The 21,151-nt window shown below is 48.8% G+C and overlaps 1 protein-coding gene and 1 pseudogene across 18 annotated transcripts in view; both read left to right on the top strand.

Moving 5' to 3' along the window:
* The window catches only part of PLAUR (plasminogen activator, urokinase receptor), a 24,075-nt gene extending 2,924 nt beyond the window's left edge, over window positions 1–21,151 (top strand). For 2 of the 18 annotated variants that reach the window (XM_047438925.1, XM_017026872.3), the window contains exons 3-8: window positions 1,787–1,930; window positions 10,606–10,767; window positions 11,673–11,807; window positions 14,875–15,021; window positions 18,103–18,676; window positions 20,698–21,151. In XM_047438925.1, coding sequence (XP_047294881.1) covers window positions 1,787–1,930; window positions 10,606–10,767; window positions 11,673–11,807; window positions 14,875–15,021; window positions 18,103–18,356 — 842 coding nt within the window. In that variant the 3' untranslated portion in view covers window positions 18,357–18,676; window positions 20,698–21,151. Of the gene's footprint in view, window positions 1–1,786; window positions 1,931–10,605; window positions 10,768–11,672; window positions 11,828–14,874; window positions 15,022–18,102; window positions 18,677–20,697 lie in introns of those variants that run through there. The other 16 variants (XM_047438926.1, XM_047438929.1, XM_047438928.1 and 13 more) reach the window with 13 other exon arrangements.
* RN7SL368P (RNA, 7SL, cytoplasmic 368, pseudogene) lies at window positions 6,470–6,746 on the top strand (annotated as a pseudogene).

Genomic DNA, 21,151 nt, shown 5'->3' with positions numbered 1-21,151 from the left:
CCAGGGACACATGTATACGAATGTTCTTAGCAGCAATGTTTGTGACATGGAAAATTGGAAACAGGCTGGGCACTGGCTCACACCTGTATTTCCAGCACTTTGGGAGGCAGAGGCGGATGAATTGCTTGAGGTCAGGAGTTCAAGACCAGGCTGGCCAACATGGTGAAACACCCGTCTCCACACACACACAAAAAAGGAAAAATTAGCCGAGTGTGGTGGCACGCACCTGTAATCTCAGCTACTTGGGAGGCTGAGACAGGAGAATTGCTTGAACCTGGGAGGTGGAGGTTGCAGTGAGCTGAGATCATGCTACTGCACTCCAGCCTGGGCGACAGAGCGAGATCCTGTCAAAAAAATGAACGAAAGAGAGAAAGGTGGGCCGGGCATGGTGGCTCACACCTGTAATCCCAGCACTTTGGGAGGCTGAGGCAGGTGGATTACCTGAGGTCAGGAGTTCAGGACCAGCCTGGCCAACATGGTGAAACCCTGTCTCTACTAAAAAATACAAAAATTAGCCGGGCTTGGTGGCAGGCACCAGTTATCCCAGCTACTCGGGAGGCTGAGACAGGAGAATTGTTTGAACCCAGGAGGCGGAGGTTGCAGTGAGCTGAGATTGTGCCATTGCACTCCAGCCTGGGCGACAAGAGCAAAACTCCATCTCAAGAAAGAAAGAAAGAAAGGAAAGGAAGAGAGAGAGAGAGAAAGAGAGAGAGGAAGGGAGGGAGGGACGGAGAGAGGCAGGGAGGGAGGGAGGGAGGAGGGAGGAAGGAAGGGGAGAAAGAAAGAAAAGAAGAAAATGGAAACGACTTTATGTCAGTCAGCAAGTCAGCAGCAGAAGAGAAACACTGTGGTAATAATTACATAATGGAGCGCTCTACTGCAGCTTAAAGAAGGAAATAGAGCTGCAGATACCAATGTGGACACATCTCAGAAACCTAAGGTTGAGAGGGAAAAAAATGTTGCAGAATATGATACGTTTTTTATAAGCTTTAAGAACACATGAAACAACAGTATATGAAGCCAAGCACAGTAGCTCACATTTGTACCCCTAGCTACTCAGGAGGCTAAGGCAGAAGGATTCCTTGAGCCCAGAAGTTCGAGGTTGTGGTGAGCTATGATTGCCCCAGCTGGGACAACAGAGACCCTGTTTCTAATAAATAAATAAATAAAATAAAGTTACATTTGAGGCATCTCAGTACTGAGATCACTAAGCTGAGGGTGTGGGGGAGGGATAGATGGATCCAGAAAGTCCCAGTTGTAGTGCTGTCACTACAAGAGCAGGAGTGGGACACAGTGGCTCACACCTGTAATTCCAGCACTTTGGGAGGCCAAGGTGGGAGGATCACTTGAGGCCAGGAGTTTGAGATCAGCCTGGGCAACATAGTGAGATGCCATCTGTATAAAAAATTTAAAAATTAGCAGGGTGTGGTGATGTAAGCCTGTGGTTCCAGCTACTCGGGAGGCCGAAGCAGGACTGCTTGAGCCTGGGAGGTCAAGGCTCCAGTGAGCTATGATTGCACCACTCCAGCCTGGGTGACAGAGCAAGACCCTGTCTCCCGGAAAAAAAAATTAATTAATTAATTAATTGAAATAAAATAGAGCAGGCTCCTTGTTGGGGTGGGGGTGGAGGCAAGGTTAACTCTAGAAAAAGACAGAGTTCGACTCAAATAACAGAAGAGGCCTAGCAGAGATCAGCCCTGGGAGTGGATGACCTTGAGACCAGGAGTGTCAGAGGCTGGTTGAGCTGAGAGGAGCCTCTGGGGTAATGAAGATCCCCTCCTTGCAGAAGGAGAAGAGCTGGAGCTGGTGGAGAAAAGCTGTACCCACTCAGAGAAGACCAACAGGACCCTGAGCTATCGGACTGGCTTGAAGATCACCAGCCTTACCGAGGTTGTGTGTGGGTTAGACTTGTGCAACCAGGGCAACTCTGGTGAGTAGGGCAGCCCTTGCCATCCCCAACCCCAAGCCATCCCCAGCTCAACCTCATCATCATCCCAATCCTATTCTTAACTTTACATCAGCTGAACCCCAACTCCATGCCTTATCCAAGTCCCAACCCCAACCCAACCCATCTCTAGCTCAGCTCCATCCCCAACTCATTCTTGACCCCATATCCAACCCCAACTCAACTTCACCTCCAATCCTATGCCCAACTTCATGTTACCCTAACACTGTTCCCAACTCAAACCCAGCCCTGTTCCAAGCACAGTTCCAACCCCATCCCCAAATCAACCCCATCCTTATCTCAGACTACCCAAATCCCCACCCCAACGACACAATTACTTTCATCCTTAACCCAATCCCCATCCTGCATGTTTGTATGTATGGTTGTTATGTATAACTTGCAACTCTGCCCTTAACAAGCTCACACGCATGCATGAGACATAGATGAGATGTCTCAGTGATGTTTGTCCATCTGACTGGGCAGGAGATGGTCCTGCCCAATCCATTGGGACGGGAGATGGTCCAAGCAATAGATACTGAGGGGCCAGGATTCAAGCAAAGACTTGACGTTCTTAAGGGAAGTCGAAAGAGGGGAAGATTAAATGGGCCGCAGTAGGCTGGGAGAATCCTCTGCAATAGATGGTCTCTGACTTGGGCAGTGAAAAAACAAATGTGAGGAAATGTCCATAATAGGCTGGGTGTGGTGGCTCATGCCTGTAATCCAAGCACTTTGGGAGACCAAGGCGGGAGAACCGCTTGAGCCCAAGAGTTTAAGACCAGCCTGGGCAACAACCATAAGCCCCTTTGTCGAATTTCATGGCTTCAGGCTCTGATCATTTTAAGAAAAAGACTTAGAAAAGGTCAAATTTTCCTAAATTCCCACAGGAGAGGAAGGGTGGGGAAGGAATGGGTCCATGGTGCATGGATCCATCCGTGAAAGAGATTCCTCTTTCTGGACCTGGTGAGGAAGGAAATAGGGTAAGGCCAGTCTAGTCATGGTTGGTGACATCAGTGAGCAGAGTGCTGCGTTTGCACTGGGTTTTCTTTGTTCTTCATTCATCCTGATTCTGCCTGGTTTTCATCCATCCTGACCTCAAACACTAATCCGCTGGTGGGGCCAAATCAGATGTTTGTTTTGAGGAAGTGACGAGAGGATGTGGGCTTCCCGTCTCGGTGAGATGTGCTTAAGGAAAGCACCAATACTTGGGTCTAAGTAGTGCATTCAATCAGAGATGATAGCGAAAATATTTAACAATATTGGTCAGTGCTGGGACAAACTCCTGGAGTCCGCTGCTGGGCCTGGTGTTGCCCCTTTCCATGATGGGTCACAGGGACATGAAGGGTCCTGGGGAGAGAGTTGGCAGTGGTCAGGGATCCACCAGGAGCTTAGAGCAGCAGCTATCAATTCAGGAATCTAATAACTGAGATACCTATATCATCCCTTTTTCTTTTCTTTTTTCTTTCTTTTTTTTTTTGTTTCCTTTTGTTTTTGTTTTTTTTTTTTGTTTGTTTGTTCGTTTGAGATGGAGTTTCACTCTTCTTGCCCAGGCTGGAGTGCAATGCCACGATCTCGGCTCTCTGCAACCTCCGCCTCCTAGGCTCGAGCGATTCTTCTGCCTCAGCCTCCCAAGTAGCTGGGATTACAGGCATGCGCCACCACGCCCAGCTAATTTTGTATTTTTAGTAGAGATGAGGTTTCTCCATGTTGGTCAAGCTGATCTTGAACTCCTGACCTCAGGTGATCTGCCCGCCTCAGCCTCCCAAAGTGCTGGGATTACAGACGTGAGCCACCGTGCCCGGCCTCATCCCCATTTCTAATGCCATTGTACCCTGCTTGTGGCAACTTGCATAGTTGGTTAAACTGCACTCAGTACTTACATGATGCTGGGAACACAGCAGGGACCAAGACAGCCTTGTGCCCTGCCTGACTCCATGGGACTCACAGTCCTGTGTGTGTGTGTGTGTGTGTGTGTGTGTGTGTGTGTGTGTGTGTGTGTGTGTAGGGGTGACAGACCCATCCATCACCAGACAGTGACTGATTATTAGGTTAATGCAAAAGTAATTGTGGCTTTTGCCATTAAAAGCAATGGCAGAAACCACAATTACTTTTGCACCAACCTAATAGATTTGTCTGGGCTATGAAGGGGGAAACACAGGCAGAGGGGTCAGGGCTGGGATGAGGGAAGAGTAGGAGCTGTGGGACCCTAGAGGAGATACCTGACTCAGGTCAGGGAAGGTTTCCTAGGGGAAGCAACAGCTAAGCTGGATCTTGAAGGATGAGTAGGAATCAGACTATTAAACAGCTAATGGAGGCTGGGTGCAGTGGCTCACGCCTGTAATCCCAACACTTTGGGAGGCCCAGGTGGGAGGATTGTTTCAGACCAGCCTAGGCAACATGACTCTACAAAAAAATTAAAAAATTAGCCAGATGTGATGGTACATGCCTGTGATCCCAGCTCCTTGGGAGGTTGAGGCGGGAGGATCACTATAGCCCAGGTGGTGGAGGCTGCAGTAAGCTATGATCGCACCACTGTACCCCAGCCTGGGTGACAGAGCGAGATCCTGCAAAAAAAAAAAAAAACAGTGGAAAGGGTTTTCCAGCAGAGGGAGCAGCAGATACAAAGGTGGCCAAAAGCAGTGTGGCTGGACAAAGGAAACAGTACAGTGGGGCGAGATGAGCTGGAAAGCTTGGCAGGGGCATGTTACACAGGGGTTTCTAGACATTGTCCTGGGAGCACTGGGGCATCACAGAAGATTTTAAACAGCGAATGTCATGATCGCAATTATTTATTTATTTATTTTTGAGATGGAGTTTCGCTCTTTTTGCCCAGGCTGGAGTGCAATGGTGCGATCTCAGCTCACTGCAACCTCCGCCTCCTAGGTTCAAGTGATTCTCCTGCCTCAGCCTCCCAAGAAACTGAGATTACAGGCACCCGCCACCATGCCCGGCTAATTTTTTTGAATTTTTAGTAGAGATGGGGTTTCACCATGTTGGCCAGGCTGGTCTCGAACTCTTGACCTCGTGATCCACCCACCTCGGCCTCCCAAAGTGCTGGGATTACAGACGTGAGCCACCGCGCCCGGCCCCCATTTATATTTTTAACAAATTATTCTGACCTCAGGACAGAAGATAGACTGAAAGGAAGCAAGAGTAGATGAGGGGAAACCAACTTGGGGGTGGGCGAGGTTGTCCAGGTGGAGAAGAGGGCAGCAGGACTAGGGTGTCAGGTGTGCAGAGGAAGAAAAGTGGATAGATTTAAGAGCTATTCAGGCTAGGCACAGTGGCTCACGCCTGTAATCCCAGCACTTTGGAAGGCCAAGGCAGGAGGACTGCTTGATCCCAGGAGTTGGAGGCTGCAGTGATCACGCCACTGCACTCCAGCCTAGGCGGCAGAGCAAAACCCTGTCTCAACCAAAGCCGAACAAGAGCTATTAAGAAGCAGGCCTTAGTGGTGGATTAGATGTGGGAGGGGACCTGCAATTCTGGTCATGATGGAGTCACTTGTATCAGACCAACCCTTCTGCCAATGACAGTTGCAAATGCTGGACAAATAATAAACAATTATTGGAAGTCACTGGAGAGCAGCAAATGAAAGGAGAAACTTGGCTGGGCAAAGTGGTTCATGCCTGTAATCCCAGCACTTTGGGAGGCCAAGACAGGTGAATTGCTCGAGCTCATGAGTTCAAGACCAGCCTGGGCAACATGGCGAAACCCCGTCTCTACTAAAAATACAAAAGTTAGCCAGGCGTGGTGGCACATGCCTGTGGTCCCAGCTACTTGGGTGGCTGAGGCACAAGAATTGCTTGAACCCGGGAGGTAGAGGTTACAGTGAGCCAAGATCACACGACTGCACTCCAGCCTGGGCGACAGCGCGAGACTCCATTTCAAAAAAAAAAAAAAGAAAAAAGAAAGAAAGGAGAAACTTGAGGCGCTACAATCTCTGAAATAACAGAAGTGTAGAATTTGGGTTCCACAGACAACCTGGCTTTTTCCCGGAGCGCACTTGCCAATCTGCTGCTGTGGAAGGGAAATAGAGCCCAGACGGAAAGAGAGTCGCTAGACTGAGAAGACGGAGGTTGGAGTTTGGGGCTGCCAGAATGTCTGGAAGATGAGAGTTAAAATCCTGGAATGGATGGGACCACAGAAAAGGGAGTTCCCAACCTGCAAACAAATCTCCCTCAAGTCATTGGCAAGCTCTACATGCACAGGGTGAGAGTCCAAGAAACTTGGAAGAGAAAAATAGCAACTGGGAAGCTACAAAAGCGAACAAGGCTTCCAGCAGACATGTGATGCTGGGGACACAGGTTGCCAAGCTGAAGAGGCCTTGGTAAGCATCTCAGGCTTTCCCCCTAAGACCACCCCAGGGGTAAGGGCCAAAGTGAAATAGACCAGCCCTAAACAAGCCTAGGTCCAGTCCTTGACAGGAATGAAAACCTGACTCTCTGTGGAAGAAGAAAACATCGTTTAGGCCCTTGACAGATTTTTATCTAGAATGTCTGGCGTCTGATCAAAATTTACAAGATAGCTAGGCATGGTGGCATGCGTCTGTAGTCCCAACTACTTGGAAGGATTTCTTGAGCCTGAGAGTTCTGGGCTGTAGTGTGCTATATCAACCGGGTGTCTGCACTAAGTTTGGCATCAATATGGTGATCTCCCAGGAGCAGGGGACCACCAGGTTGTCTAAGGAGGGGTTGAAGCAGCCCAGGTCAGAAATGGAGCAGGTCAAAACTCCTGTGATGATCAGTAGCAGGATTATGCCTATGAATAGCCACTGCACACCAGCCTGGACAACATAGCAAGACCCCATCTTTAAAAAAAAAAAAAACCAGGCCGGGCATGGTGGCTCAAGCCTGTAATCCCAGCACTTTGGGAGGCCGAGGTGGGAGGATTACAAGGTCAGGAGTTCATGACCACACTGGCCAACATGGTGAAACCCCTTCTCTACTAAAGATACAAAAAAAAAAAAAATTAGCCGGGTATGGTGGCACACACCTGTAATACCAGCTACTTGGGAGACTGAGGCAGGAGAATTGCTTGAACCAGGGAGGTGGAGGTTGCAGTGAGCCGAGATCACACCATTGCACTCCAGCCTGAGCGAGAGGGCAAGACTCTGTCTCAAAACAAAACAAAACAAAACAAAACAAAACGCAAGACTCTGTCTCAAAACAAAACAAAACAAAAAACAAAAAATAAAAAACAGTAACAAAAAACCTTACAAGGTATCCTGAAGAAAATAAAAGGGACCAATTGACCAGAAACCAAGAGAAAAATCCAACTGTAGAAACAGAATTGTAGCAACTCAGATATTGGATTATAGGACAGGAAACATGAAAATTGCTACAATCGATATATTCAGGAAAACAGAAGAAAGGATATGTTTTAGCACCTGGAATCCATTTTTTAAAAGAGTCCAACAGAAAATATAGAACAGTGACTCAAATGAAGAACTCGGCAGTTATGCTTGATAGAGGTCAGAAACAGCAGAGCAAAAGGATTAAGGAGCTAGAAGACAGAACAGTAGAAGCATGTCGGTTGATGCACAGATGTGGAAGATAAGGGGGTCTGCCAGGTTTCTGCCCCGGGGACTGGATGGGGCCGCCTTGGACGCGTGGACTTCAAGAAAAAGAGCAGTTGTGGGAGAAGATGGGGAGTTTTGTTTAGGACAGGTGTTTGAGGTATAGCCATGGGGCCTCGAAGAGACAGTTGCGTGTCTGGAGCTCAGAGAGAAGTCTAGACTAGAGAGAGATTTGTGAGTGATGAGCAGATAGATGGAAATGAAGTCATGTCAATATTTACCCCATGAGAGAGTCTATACTGTGAGAGATAAAAAGGGCTTAAAACAGAGCCCTGGCCAGGTGCGGTACTCACGTCTGTAATCCCAGCACTTTAGGAGGCCGAAGCGGCAGGATCATTTGAGTCCAGGAGTTCGAGACTAGCCTGGGTAACATAGCAAGACCTTGTCTCTACAAAAATACAGGAATCAGCCAGGTGAACTGGCACATGCCTGTAGTCTCAGCTACTCAGTAGGCTGAGATGGGAGAATCACCTGAGCTCAGGGAGGTCGAGGTGGCAGTGAGCCACTGCACTCCAGCCTTGGGACAGAGCAAGACCCTATCTCAAAAAAAAAAAAAAAGAAAAGAAAAGAAAAAGGAAAATAGCCCTAAGGATCATTGGCATTTACAAGAGTTCACACCAGAGACCCATGAGTGACCACCCAGAGTGGGCAGAACTAGAAATGGGGAATTCAAGGGGCAGTGGGAGCTCAGAGCAGGTACCCGTTCCAGGCTGATGGGTCAGGGAGGGCTTCCTAGAGGAGGTGAAATTGAAGATGACAGCTGAAGAATGAATAGGAGTTAGAGAAAGTAGGGCTCAAGGAAAAGGTGTTCTAGGTATGAACAGCTATGTTGGCAATGGTGAGAATTTGTGTTTTCATTTTCATGGAAGTTTGTGTGAGAAGACGTGGGTGGCCTTGTAGTTATTTTTCTTTGAGGGGGACGATTGGGCTTTGGATGTAAATGATTCGCCTAATTACAGCTAGCGGCCTGCCAGTTGAGAACCTTGGCTGACATGGTCCTCTCACTTTTTTAAGACTTGGCCTGGACTCAGCTTAGATGTGTCTTGGGTCAGGACGGGGAGGGCATGCCAAGCATGGGAAATGGTGTGAGCCAAGGGCTGGGTAGAGGAATGACTCTGGTGTTTCCAGGGAAAAGTAACGGATCCAGTTGGCCAACACCACAAGGTTCGTGCAAAAGGCGAAGTGATCAGGAATCAGTCAAGTGAGTCTTTGATCCCTGGGACAATTAGGTAGTGTATTATCTATTGCTTATCTATTATCTATTGCTGCATTACAGATTGCAGCAATAAAATAAGCATGTGTTATTTCACAAAGTTTCTGAAGGTCAAAAACCCTGGAGTGGCTTAGCTAGGTGGTTCTGGCTCAGGATCCTTCATGAGCCTGCAGTCGAGATGTCAGCTGGGGCTGCAGTCATCTGAAGGCTCCTAAGGTAGCTTCACTCACATGAATGCTCCCCTCCCATGGCTTTGGCACAGGCCTCAGTTCTGCCACGTGAACTTTCCCATGGTGCTACTTGAGTGTCCTCACAACATGGCTGCTGCTTGCCCCAGAAAAAGTGATCCAAGTGAGAGAGCCAGGCATGTGTTCTATGATCTAGCCACAGAAGGCATACACCATCATTTCCATAATATCCAGTTGACTACATAGGGCATCCTTATTCTTTTCTTCTTCTTTTTTTTTTTTAATTTAAAGACAGAGTCTTGCTATGTTGCCCAGACTAGTCTCAAACTCCCAGACTCAAGCAATCCTCCCACCTCGGCCTCCCAAAATGCTGGGATTACAGGCATGAGCTGCTGCACCCAGCCAGCCCTATTCTTTAAGGGCATGAATACCAGGGAGCAGAGATTATTGGGGGCCATTTTGGAGACAGGCTACCACAGGGAACAATAGAAGGGTTTTAAGTAATTGCTCATTCATTCATTCATTTAACAAATATGCATTGAATATCTTATCTGTCCCTGGCCATGTGCCAGGTGGTGTTGGGACACAGTAGTGATCAAGACAGCCCCTGGCCCTGCCCTCCTGGGGGCTCACAGTCCAGTAGAGGAGACATACCTGTCACCAGACAGTGACCACCCAGAGTGGGATGGGGGAGTACAGGGGTGTGTGGGAGCCTGGTGGATCAGGAAGGGCTTCCTAGAGGAGGTGAAATTAGAGCTGACACCTGAAGAATGAGTAGGAGTTAGGGAAGGCAGAGAGCAAAGGAAAGGTGTTCTAGACAGAAACAACGGCATATGCAAAGGCCTGGATGCCAGGGAACATGTGTCGTCGCAGACTGTGGGAAGTCAGTGTGGAGCAGAGTCTCAGGGTGTAGTGGAGGGAGACGAGGCAGGAGAGGTGCTCAGGCCCCAGTATTTGATAGGCTTTGAATCCCATGCTGAGGATCTTGGAATTTATTTTCAGGGCAGTAGGGAGCTATGGAAGAGTCTTGAGCAGAGGAGAGACAGGGTCAGATATGAGTATTAGAAATATCCTTCTAAGGGCCCGAGTGCAGTGGCTCATGCCTGTAATCCCAGCACTTTGGGAGGCCAAGGCATGTAGATCACTTGAGGTTAGGAGTTCGAGACCAGCCTGGCCAACATGGTGAAACCCTGTCTCTACTAAAAATACAAAAATTAGCCCAGCGTGATGGTGCACGCCTGTAGTCCCAGCTATTCGGGAGGCTGAGGCAGGAGAATCACTTGAACCCGGGGAGTGGAGGTTGCAGTGAGCCAAGATGGTGCCACTGCGTTCCAGCCTGGGTGACGGAGTGAGACTCTGTCTCGGGAAAAAAAAAAAAAAAAAGGAAAGAAATGTTTCTAGGGCCATGTGGAGATGCTGCACTGGGGTGAGTAGGGGGTGACAAGAATGGAAACCCAGAGGCTAGGGAGGTAGCTGGAGTTGAAGGAGGTCTGAGCTGGACTGGTCCATGGGGCTGGAAAGGAGGGGGTGGATTCTAGAAAGATTCAGCAGGCAGAATAGGCAGGGCTCAATGACTGGCTGCAGGGTGGGATAAGGAGGAATTGATTTTGAGTGAGTCCTTGCAGAGCTGGGGCTCCAGGACTGTCCCCATGGAGTCTCACTCCCCTCCCCCTCTTCCAAACAGGCCGGGCTGTCACCTATTCCCGAAGCCGTTACCTCGAATGCATTTCCTGTGGCTCATCAGACATGAGCTGTGAGAGGGGCCGGCACCAGAGCCTGCAGTGCCGCAGCCCTGAAGAACAGTGCCTGGATGTGGTGACCCACTGGATCCAGGAAGGTGAAGAAGGTGAGCCCCAACCTGCTGGCAACTCCTCCTCCCTGCTCTGCTCCTCCCTAAGACTGCACTTAACAAACAACCCCAAAGTAACAGGGATGTCAGCAAGGGACTAAGTTCTCTCATACACAAGAGGTCCAGTGATAGGAAGTCCAGGGCCACAAGGACAGGTCCAGAGTCACCAGGAACCCAGATGCCTTCTCATTTCTTTTTATTTATTTATTTATTTATTTTTTGAGACAGAGTCTTGCTCTCTGTCACCCAGGCTGGAGTGCAATGGCATGATCTTGGCTGGCTGCAACCTCCGCCTCCCAGGTTCAAGTGATTCTCCTGCCTCAGCCTCCTGAATAGCTGGGATTACAGGTGTGCATCACCACGCCTTGCTAATTTTTGTATTTTTAGTAGAGATGGGGTTTCACCATGTTGGTCAGGCTGGTCTCAAACTCCTGACCTTGTGATCCACCCGCCTCAACCTCCCAAAGTGCTGGGATTACAAGCGTGAGCCACCACGCCCGGCCACCCTCTTGTTTCTTACACATTACTTCCATTCTCAAAATGCCTCATAGTCTAAAATGGCTGCCAGAGCTCCGGGTCTCACATCTAAGTTCCAGGAAGGAGGAAGAAGGAAAGAAGGGACAAAAAAGGGGGCACTCCTCCTTTTGTAAGGGTTCTCCTTTCTGGAAGTCCCATAAAGCACTTCTATTTATATCACATTAGTCCGAACTTCATCACATGACTACCTGGAGAGGCTGGAATATGTAGTTTTCGACAAGATCTATGACTGTTCTAGATAAAATGAGGGTCTTATGATGAAGGGTGAAGTAGAGAATGGTTGAATGCCTGCTATTTCGGGCAAATCCCATCTTAGTCCCTCATTCACAATCTGACATCTGACCTCTGTCCCCTGGCCCCCATAGGGCGTCCAAAGGATGACCGCCACCTCCGTGGCTGTGGCTACCTTCCCGGCTGCCCGGGCTCCAATGGTTTCCACAACAACGACACCTTCCACTTCCTGAAATGCTGCAACACCACCAAATGCAACGAGGGCCCAAGTAAGGAACGGGAGACACAGGCAAGGCCTGGGGTCGGGCAGGGGCATGCACTCAGGCAGACAGCTGCGCAGTCACTCTCTGGCAATCAAGTCCTCTCTGGGCCTCTGTTTGCTTTTCTGAAAAATGGGAGTATCAGGCCTTTTTTTTTTTTTTTTTTTTTTTGAGACGGAGTCTCACTCTGTTGCCCAGGCTGGAGTGCAATGGCGTGATCTCCGCTCACTGTAAACTTCGCCTCACGAGTTCAAGCGATTCTCCTGCTTCAGCCTCCTGAGTAGCTGGGATTACAGGTGCCCACCATCACCCCTGGCTAATTTTTCTATTTTTAGTAGAGATGGGGGTTTCACCATGTTGGCCAGGCTGGTCTCGAACTCCTGACCTCAAGTGATCTGTCTGCCTCAGCCTCACAAAGTGCTGGGGTAACAGGCATGAGCCACTGCACCCAGCCAGGCCTTTCTTCAAAGAAGAACTTCGTAAGGATTCAATGATACTATCAGCCCTCGCCAAGACCTGTGCTTCCTGTCTCTTTTGTCTCTCTCAAATTTTCCCACTCCTCCCCTGCTCCACTGCCACCACCTGGGCTGAGCCACGCTGACTTCTTGCCCAGGTTGTTGCAATGACCTCCTCTCTGGTCTCCCTGCTTCCACTCCTGCCACCCTACAGCCAAGGCTCAACCCAGCAGCGAGTGATTTTTTGGGGGGTATGGGGGGGACAGGGTCTCGCTCTGTCACCCAGGCTGGAGTGCACTGGCATGATCATGGCTCACTGCAGCCTCAAACTCCTGGGCTCAGGAATTCTTCCCACCTAAGCTACTGGAGTAGCTGCGACTACAGGTGCATGCCACCGTACCCAGCTAATTTTGTATTTTTGGTAGAGATGGGGTCTTGCTTTGTTGCCCAGGCTGGTCTTGAACTCCTGGGCTTGGCCTCCCAAAGTGTTAGGATTACAGGCATGAGCCACCATGCACCACCAATTTTTTATTTTTTAATGTAAATCAGATCATGTCACCCTCCTTTCTCAGGCACTTCAATGACTTCCCCTTCCTCTTAGAATAAGATCCAAAGACCTTATTCTGTTGGCCTATGTAATCTGGCACCTGTCTGCCTCACAGTCTTTGTTTAGATTCGTTTTTGGGGTTTTGTGTTTTCTTTAGACATAGGGTCTTGCTCTGCCACCCAGGCTGGGGTGCAGTGGCACAATCACGGCTCACTGCCACCTCAAACTCCTGGGCTCCAGTGATCCTCCCACCTCAGCTTCCCAAGTAGCTGGGACTACAGATGCGCATCATTGCACCCAGCTACATTTTTTTTTTTTTTCTGAGATGGAGTCTTGCGCTGTTGCCCAGGCTGGAGTGCAGTGGCGCGATCTTGGCTCACTGCAAGCTCCGCCTCCCGGGTTCACGCCATTCCCCTGCCTCAGCCTCCCGAGTGGCTGGGACTACAGGCACCCACCACCATGCCTGGCTAATTTTTGTATTTTTAGTAGAGACAGGGTTTCACTGTGTTAGCCAGGATGATCTCGATCTCCTGACCTCATGATCCGCCTGACTCAGCCTCCCAAAGTGCTGGGATTACAGGCGTGAGCCACCACGCCCGGCCGCACCCAGCTAAATTTTTAAAACTTTTGTAGAGATGGGGTCTCACTATGTTGCCGGGGCTGGTATCAAACTCCCAGGCTCAAGCAATCCTTCTGCCTTGACCTCCCAAAGTGCTGGGATTACAGGCATGAGCCGCTGCACCTGGCCTTCATTTAGTTTCTTTCTTTCTTCCTTTCTTTCTTTTTTTAGATGGAGTCTCGCTCTGTCAGCCAGGCTGGAGGGCAGTGGCGTGATCTTGGCTCACTGCAACCTCCGCCTCCCAGGTTCAAGCGATTCTCCTGCCTCGGCCTCCCAAAGTGCTGGGATTACAGGCATGAGCCGCTGTGCTGACGTTCATTTGGTTTCTATAATCACCAAAGCCCATCTGGTCTCATGGCCCTTGCAGATGAATATCCTCCCTTAGAACACATCTTCCCCAAGAGTTCACCCTGCTGGCAACTTCTCATCCATTAGGCCTCAGCTTTAATGTATCATCTTCAGGGATGCTTTCACTGTCCCTCCCCTCCAGTGTAATCTAGATCCCTGTCTCTATTACCCAGCACTGTCAACAGATAGAAATGTTCCCTATCTGTCCTGTCCAATATTACAGCCACCACTGTATGTGGTCAGTGAGCACTTGAAATGTGAACTGAATTTTAAGATTCGATTTAATATTAATTTATTTAAATGTAAACAACCACATGTGGCCAGTGGCTACCAGATTGGGTAGTGTAGCTCTAAATTGTAAATTCTGGCTGGGCACAGTGGCTCACACCTGTAATCCCAGCACTTTTGGAGGCGGAGGCGGGAGGGTCGCCTGAGGCCAGGAGTTTGAGACAAGCCTAGGCAACATAGCAAGACTCCGTCTCAAAAAAAATTTTTTAGTAATAATAATAGTAATAACTTGTAAGTTCTGGCCAGGTACAGTGGCTCACACCTGTACTCCGAGAACATTGGGAGGCTGAGGCAGGCAGATTGCTTGATCCCAGGAGTTTGAGACCAGCCTGAGTAATGTGTCAAAACCCCATCTCTACAAAAAACAGAAAAATTGGCTAGGCATGGTGGTGCACGCCTGTAGTCCCAGCTACTCAGGAGGCTGATGTGGAAGAATCTCTTGAGCCGGGGTGGTCGAGGCTGCAGTGAGCTACAATTGCGCCACTGCACTCCAGCCTGGGCAACAAACTGAGACCCTGTATCAAAAATAAATAAATAAGTTGTAACTTTTGTGAGAGCAAGGACAGTTTCATCTTACATAGTTTTACCCAGCACCCAGCACGGTGCCTGGCCAGAAATGGGACTCATGGGGAGTTGAAAGTTGGGGTTTCTCTCAAGCCCTCGAAAACCATCCCCCTCCAAATGCCATTCAGACGCCTGACCACAAGGTGGCTCCATGACATCTCTGGCTCGGAGTGGAAGTCCTGGGGAGGTCATTCAAGGAAGTGGAGATCCAAGCACTAATTTTCTTGGTCTCTGTGTCTCTGGTCTTCTCCTAAGTCCTGGAGCTTGAAAATCTGCCGCAGAATGGCCGCCAGTGTTACAGCTGCAAGGGGAACAGCACCCATGGATGCTCCTCTGAAGAGACTTTCCTCATTGACTGCCGAGGCCCCATGAATCAATGTCTGGTAGCCACCGGCACTCACGGTGAGGCCCTCTCCGAGGCTGGGAGGGAACACTTATTGGGGGTGGAGAGTTCCGCAAGAGATTGACTTCCAGTTAAGCTGGAGTTAACTGTGGTGGGTCTCCCTGTGGAAAAGGTGGGATTTCCTTCAGGTGGGTGAATATTATTGTAAGGAATTAGGACTTGTCCATCAGGATGTGGACATTTTTGCCATGGAAAAGTGGAATTCCGGCTGGGTGCGGTGGCTGAAGCTTGTACTCTCAGCACTTTGGGAGGCTGAGGCCGGAGGATCTCTTGAGGCCAGGAGTTTGAGACCAGCCTGGGCAACATAGCAAGACCCCCATCTCTACAAAAAGAAAAATGGAATTCTTTGGTGGATTTCTCGTGGGTTGTGGGGATTTGCTGAAGACATCTTGGGCTTTCATCCTGTGGTGTCCTGGAAAGGTCTCTGTATTCCAGTGGTTCTCAAACTTTTTGGTCTCAACTTCTTCATGCTTTTAAAAATTATTTTTGGCCAGGTGTGGTGGCTCACGCCTGTAATTGCAACACCTTGGGAGGGTGAGGAGGAGAACCACTTGAGGTCAGGAGTATGAGAGCAAGCCTGGCCACCATGGTGAAACCCTGTCTCTACAAAAAATTACAAAAATTAGCTGGGTGTGGTGGCGTGCACCTATAACCCCAGCTACTCAGGGGGCTGAGGCACGAGAATCACTTGAACCCAGGAGGAGGAGGTTGCAGTGAGTGGGGATCACCCCACTGCACTCCAGCCTGGATGACAGAGGGAGACTTTGTCTCAAAAAAAAAAAAAAACTCTTTATTGTTTATATCAGTGATTTCTATAGATAAATGCCACATTAAAATTAAAACTGAGAACCAGGAGTGGTGGCTCACGCCTGTAATCCTAGCACTTTGGGAGGCCGAGGTGGGTAGATCACCTGAGGTCGGGAGTTCAAGACCAGCCTGACCAACATGGTGAAACCCCATCTCTACTAAAAATACAAATTAGTCGGGCATGGTGGCACATGCCTATAATCCCAGCTACTCGGGAGGCTGAGGCAGGAGAATCACTTGAACCTGGGAGGCAGAGGTTGCGGTGAGCCAAGATTGTGCCATTGCACTCCAGCCTGGGCAACAAGAGTGAAACTCCGTCCCAAAAAATAAAATAAAATAAAATTAAATTAAAATTAAAACTGAGAAATCTTTTTTTTTTTTTTTTGAAATGGAGTCTTGCTCTGTCGCCAGGCTAGAGTGCAGTGGCATGGTCTCAGCTCACTGCAACCTCCCCCTCCTGGGTTCAAGCAATCCTCCTGCCTCAGCTTCCTGCATAGCTGGGATTACAGGCATGAGCCACCATGCCCAGCTTATTTTTGTAATTTTAGTAGAGACGGGGTTTCACCATGTTGGCCAGGATGGTCTCGATCTCCTGACCTCATGATCTGCCTGCCTCGGCCTCCCAAAGTGCTGGGATTACAGATGTGAGCCACCGTGCCCAGCCAAAACTGAGAAATCTTTAAAGATTTATTTATGAATTCATCTTATAACAATAAAAACTCATTACACATTAAGATAAATAACATTTTAATGAAAAATAAGTATAGTTTCCAAAGAAAAAATGTAATGATAGCCAGGCATGGTGGCTCATGCCTATAATCCCAATACTTTGGGAGGCCAAGGTGGGCGGGTCACTTAAGCCTAGGGATTTGAGACCAGCCTGGGCAACATAGCAAGATCCTGTCTCTACAGAAAATACAAAAGTTAGCTGGGCATGGTGGTGCATGCCTGTAGTCCCAGCTGCTTGGGAGGCTGAGGTGGGAGGGTCACTTGAGCCTGGGAGGTGGAGGTTGCAGTGAACGGAGATTGCACCACTGCACTGCGGCCTGGGCAACAGAGCGAGACCCTGTCTTAAAAAAACAAACAAAGAAACAACAAAAAAAAAACCAGCCAGGCGCGGTGGCTCACGCCTGTAATACCAGCACTTTGGGAGGCCAAGGCGGGCAGATCACAAGGTCAGGAGTTCGAGACCAGCCTGGCCAATATGGTGAAACCCCGTCTCTACTAGAAATACAAAAATTAGCTGGGCATGGTGGTCGCGCCTGTAGTCCCAGCTACTTGGGAGGCTGAGGCAGAAGAATTGCTTGAACCCGGGAGGCAGAGGTTGCAGTGAGCCGAGATCGTGCCACTGCACTCCAGCCTGGGTGACAGAGTGAGACTCCATCTCAAAAAAAAAAACAAAAAAAAAGCGTAATGAGAAAACTGGCATTATTTTGCTGTGTTGCACATCTCTTTAATGTCCAGCTTAATAGAAGACAGCTGGGTCCTCATGGAAGCTTCTGCTTTCAGTCTCTTGCAATATCACATGTCCTGGAGTTTTTGGAAAAGCCCATTGTACACTTATGAGAGTGAAAAAGCCATGTGAAATCACAGATCTCCTGAAAGGGTCTCTGGGGTCCCTGAGCCACACTTTAAGAACCGCTGCTCGCTTCCTTTCTTTCTTTTTTTTTCTTTCCTTTTCTTTCTCTGTCTCTCTTTCCCTTTCTTTCTTTCTTTCTTCCTTCCTTCCTCCCTTCCTTCCTTCTTTCCCTTCTCCTTCCTTCCTTCCTCCCTCTCTCTCTCTTTCTTTCTTTTCTTTCCCTTCTTCCCTTCCTCCCTTCCTTCTTCCCTCCCTCCCTCCCTCCCTTCCTTCCTTTCTTTCTTTTTATTTGTTTTTTGAAACAGGGTCTCACTCTGTTACCCAGGCTGGAGTGCAGTGGCGTGATCATAACTCACCACAGCCTCCATCTCCTGAGCTCAAGTGATCCTCTCATCTCAGCCTCCCAAGTAGCTGGGACTACAGCTGTTTTTTTCTTTTTTATGTTTGTAGAAACAGAGTTTTGCTATGTTGTCCAGGCTGGTCTGGAACTCCTGGGCTCAAGCTATCCTCTCTCCTTGGCTTCCCAAGGTGTTGAGATTACAGGCATGAGCCACCACACCTGGCCCTGAGAACTGCTGCTTTCTCTAGGTGGTAGTGAAGGTGGCACCCACTGCAAGGTGGCAGGTCACCTACTGGAGAATTCCAGTCCTGGGCCCAGGAGCTGGAAGTCTCACTCCGTCTTCTCTTTCCTCAGAACCGAAAAACCAAAGCTATATGGTAAGAGGCTGTGCAACCGCCTCAATGTGCCAACATGCCCACCTGGGTGACGCCTTCAGCATGAACCACATTGATGTCTCCTGCTGTACTAAAAGTGGCTGTAACCACCCAGACCTGGATGTCCAGTACCGCAGTGGGGCTGCTCCTCAGCCTGGCCCTGCCCATCTCAGCCTCACCATCACCCTGCTAATGACTGCCAGACTGTGGGGAGGCACTCTCCTCTGGACCTAAACCTGAAATCCCCCTCTCTGCCCTGGCTGGATCCGGGGGACCCCTTTGCCCTTCCCTCGGCTCCCAGCCCTACAGACTTGCTGTGTGACCTCAGGCCAGTGTGCCGACCTCTCTGGGCCTCAGTTTTCCCAGCTATGAAAACAGCTATCTCACAAAGTTGTGTGAAGCAGAAGAGAAAAGCTGGAGGAAGGCCGTGGGCCAATGGGAGAGCTCTTGTTATTATTAATATTGTTGCCGCTGTTGTGTTGTTGTTATTAATTAATATTCATATTATTTATTTTATACTTACATAAAGATTTTGTACCAGTGGACAAGGCCAGGTATGCCCTTCTTTGTAGTGTCTATCTTTGGGAGGATAAATGGTGGGGGACACCTTTTCACAGGCTCCTGGAATCAGGGGTCATGTTTGAGGCCCCTGCCTAGGTTGGAAGTCCTCCTGGGGGCTGCCTCCACATCTATTTCTGGACTCCAAATGCTGACAGAGCAGGAGCACTGCCATCTTGAACAAACACCACCATTCTTAGTTCCTCTTGATTAAAAATCGGCTAAATCCGGACGTGGTGGCGGGTGCCTGTAGTCCCAGCTATTCGGGAGGCTGAGGCAGGAGAATGGCGTCAATCCGGGAGGTGGAGCTTGCAGTGAGCCGAGATTGCACCACTGCACTCCAGCCTGGGTGACAGAGCAAGACTCTGTCTCAAAAAAAAATCAGCTAAATCCAGCCCCAAAACATCAGCCTAATGGCTACCATCAGCATAACCAGAAACATTCCAACCCTAAGATAAACCCCTCTCTGACCAGAAACATGCCAACCCCCAGATAGCCTCCCTTCCGACCAGAGACTTTCCAACCCCACAATAAACTTTTCCTCACATGAAAACATTCCGAACCTAGATAAGCACCCCCTTCCAAAACTCTTAAATATCCTTAGTCTGTAAAAAAAAAAAAAAAAAAGGGCTCTCTAACCTAACTCAGCCAAAAGCCCCCCTCAGGTTGGTTTTCTCTAAAATAAACCTGTCCTTCACCGTCAAGCCACATTTCATGTTTCTTTCCTTTTCCTTTTTCTTTTCTTTTCTTTTCTTTTTTTGAGATGGAGTTTCACTCTTGTTGCCCAGGCTGGAGTGCAATGACACAATCTCAGCTCACCACAACCTCCACCTCCTAGTTCAAGGGATTCTCCTGCCTCAGCCTCCCAAGTAGCTGGGATTACAGGCATGCACCACCACACCCGGCTAATTTTGTATTTTTAGTAGAGACAGGGTTTCTCCATGTTGTTCAGGCTGGTCTCAAACTCCCAACCTCAGGTGATCTGCCCACCTTGGCCTCCCAAAGTGCTAGGATTACAGGCATGAGCCACCGTGCCTGGCCTCCTCTTTCTTTAATTCTTACAAATGCAAGCTTCCAGATCACACACTGAACACTAACCTTCTAGTCTTCTCCTAAACTTCAAAGGTTGCAACTATTTTGTTGTTCTAAGGAGACATCCCCACATTTCCCAGCATGCTTTGGGAAAGGAGACGGATAGAAGATAACCTGATGGCCAGAACTCCCTGCATGCACTGCAGTGAGGAATAAGGACAGGAGTGCACTTCCCCTGATGTGCTGGGGACCGGGGATAAAGGCTGGGCTCTATTTCCCGGGATGCCTCAGGACTGTCAGAAAAAGAGACAGAACTACCATTTCAATGGCACTCTAGGAGCACAATATTGAAAAATTCATGTTCTTCTCATCATTTGCTAAGGCAACCCATGGAGACAAAAATTACATTCCCCATCAAATCTTGTGGCTAATGAAGAAAAAATAAGATATCTTCGGCTGGCTGTGGTGGTTCACGCCTGTAATCCCAGCACTTTGGGAGGCCGAGGTGGGCAGATCACTTGAGGCAGGAGTTTGAGACCAGCCTGGCCAATTTGGCAAAACCCCGTCTCTACTAAAATTACAAAAATTAACCGGGTAAGGTGGTGGGTGCCTGTAACTCCAGCTACTCGGAAGGCTGAGGCAGGAGAATCGCTTGAACCCAGGAGGAGGAGGTTGTAGTGAGCCAAGATCACACCACTGCATGACACAGTGAGACTATCCCCAAAAAAAAAAAAAAAAAAAAAAAGACATCTTCCATGGTATTTGGGGGCAGGTGAGGGACAAGGTTCTTGTTTAGGGCTTTCTCTAATGACATATCACCACCTGTCACTGTAGTGGCTTAAAGAAGTGAGGTCTGTACTTCTGCCTCTTGAATATGAGTGACTCTGTGACTGCTTTGACCAGTAGAATGTGGTGGAAGTTTTGCTGTGCTATGTTCTGGAACCAAGTTTTAAGAAACTTTCATTTTTCACTTTCTGAATCTTAGAACGCTCACTCTGGGGAAGCTGGTTGCCATGTAAAAGTACTACTGCCCTGAGACCACCATGCTGTGAGGAAGCCCAAGCTACTCATGTATAAATGCCATGTGGAGATAGAGCCCCAGATGTTTCAGCCATCTCAGCCCAGGCACCAGACAAGTGGGTGAAGAAGCCACCTTGGACATGTAGCCCCAGCAGATGTGATATAGAGAAGAAACAGGAAACTTGGCTATATTAGTTTCCTAGGGCTGCCTGTGATAAATTATTACAAACTTTATAAACTAACACATTGTGTGCCTATATCAAAACATCATGGAAGGACAGGCACAGTGGCTCATGCCTGTAGTCCTAGCACTTTGGGAGGGTGAGAAAGGAAGATCTCTTGAGCTCAGGAGTTCAAGATCAGCCTGGGCAACACAGTGAGACCTCATCTCCACTAAAAATAAAAAAAAATTGGCTGGA

Source organism: Homo sapiens, chromosome 19, assembly GCF_000001405.40.
Source record: "Homo sapiens chromosome 19, GRCh38.p14 Primary Assembly".
Classification (NCBI taxonomy): domain Eukaryota; kingdom Metazoa; phylum Chordata; class Mammalia; order Primates; family Hominidae; genus Homo; species Homo sapiens.
Note: the sequence above shows the minus strand (reverse complement) of the source record. Positions and strands in the feature narration are given on the sequence as shown.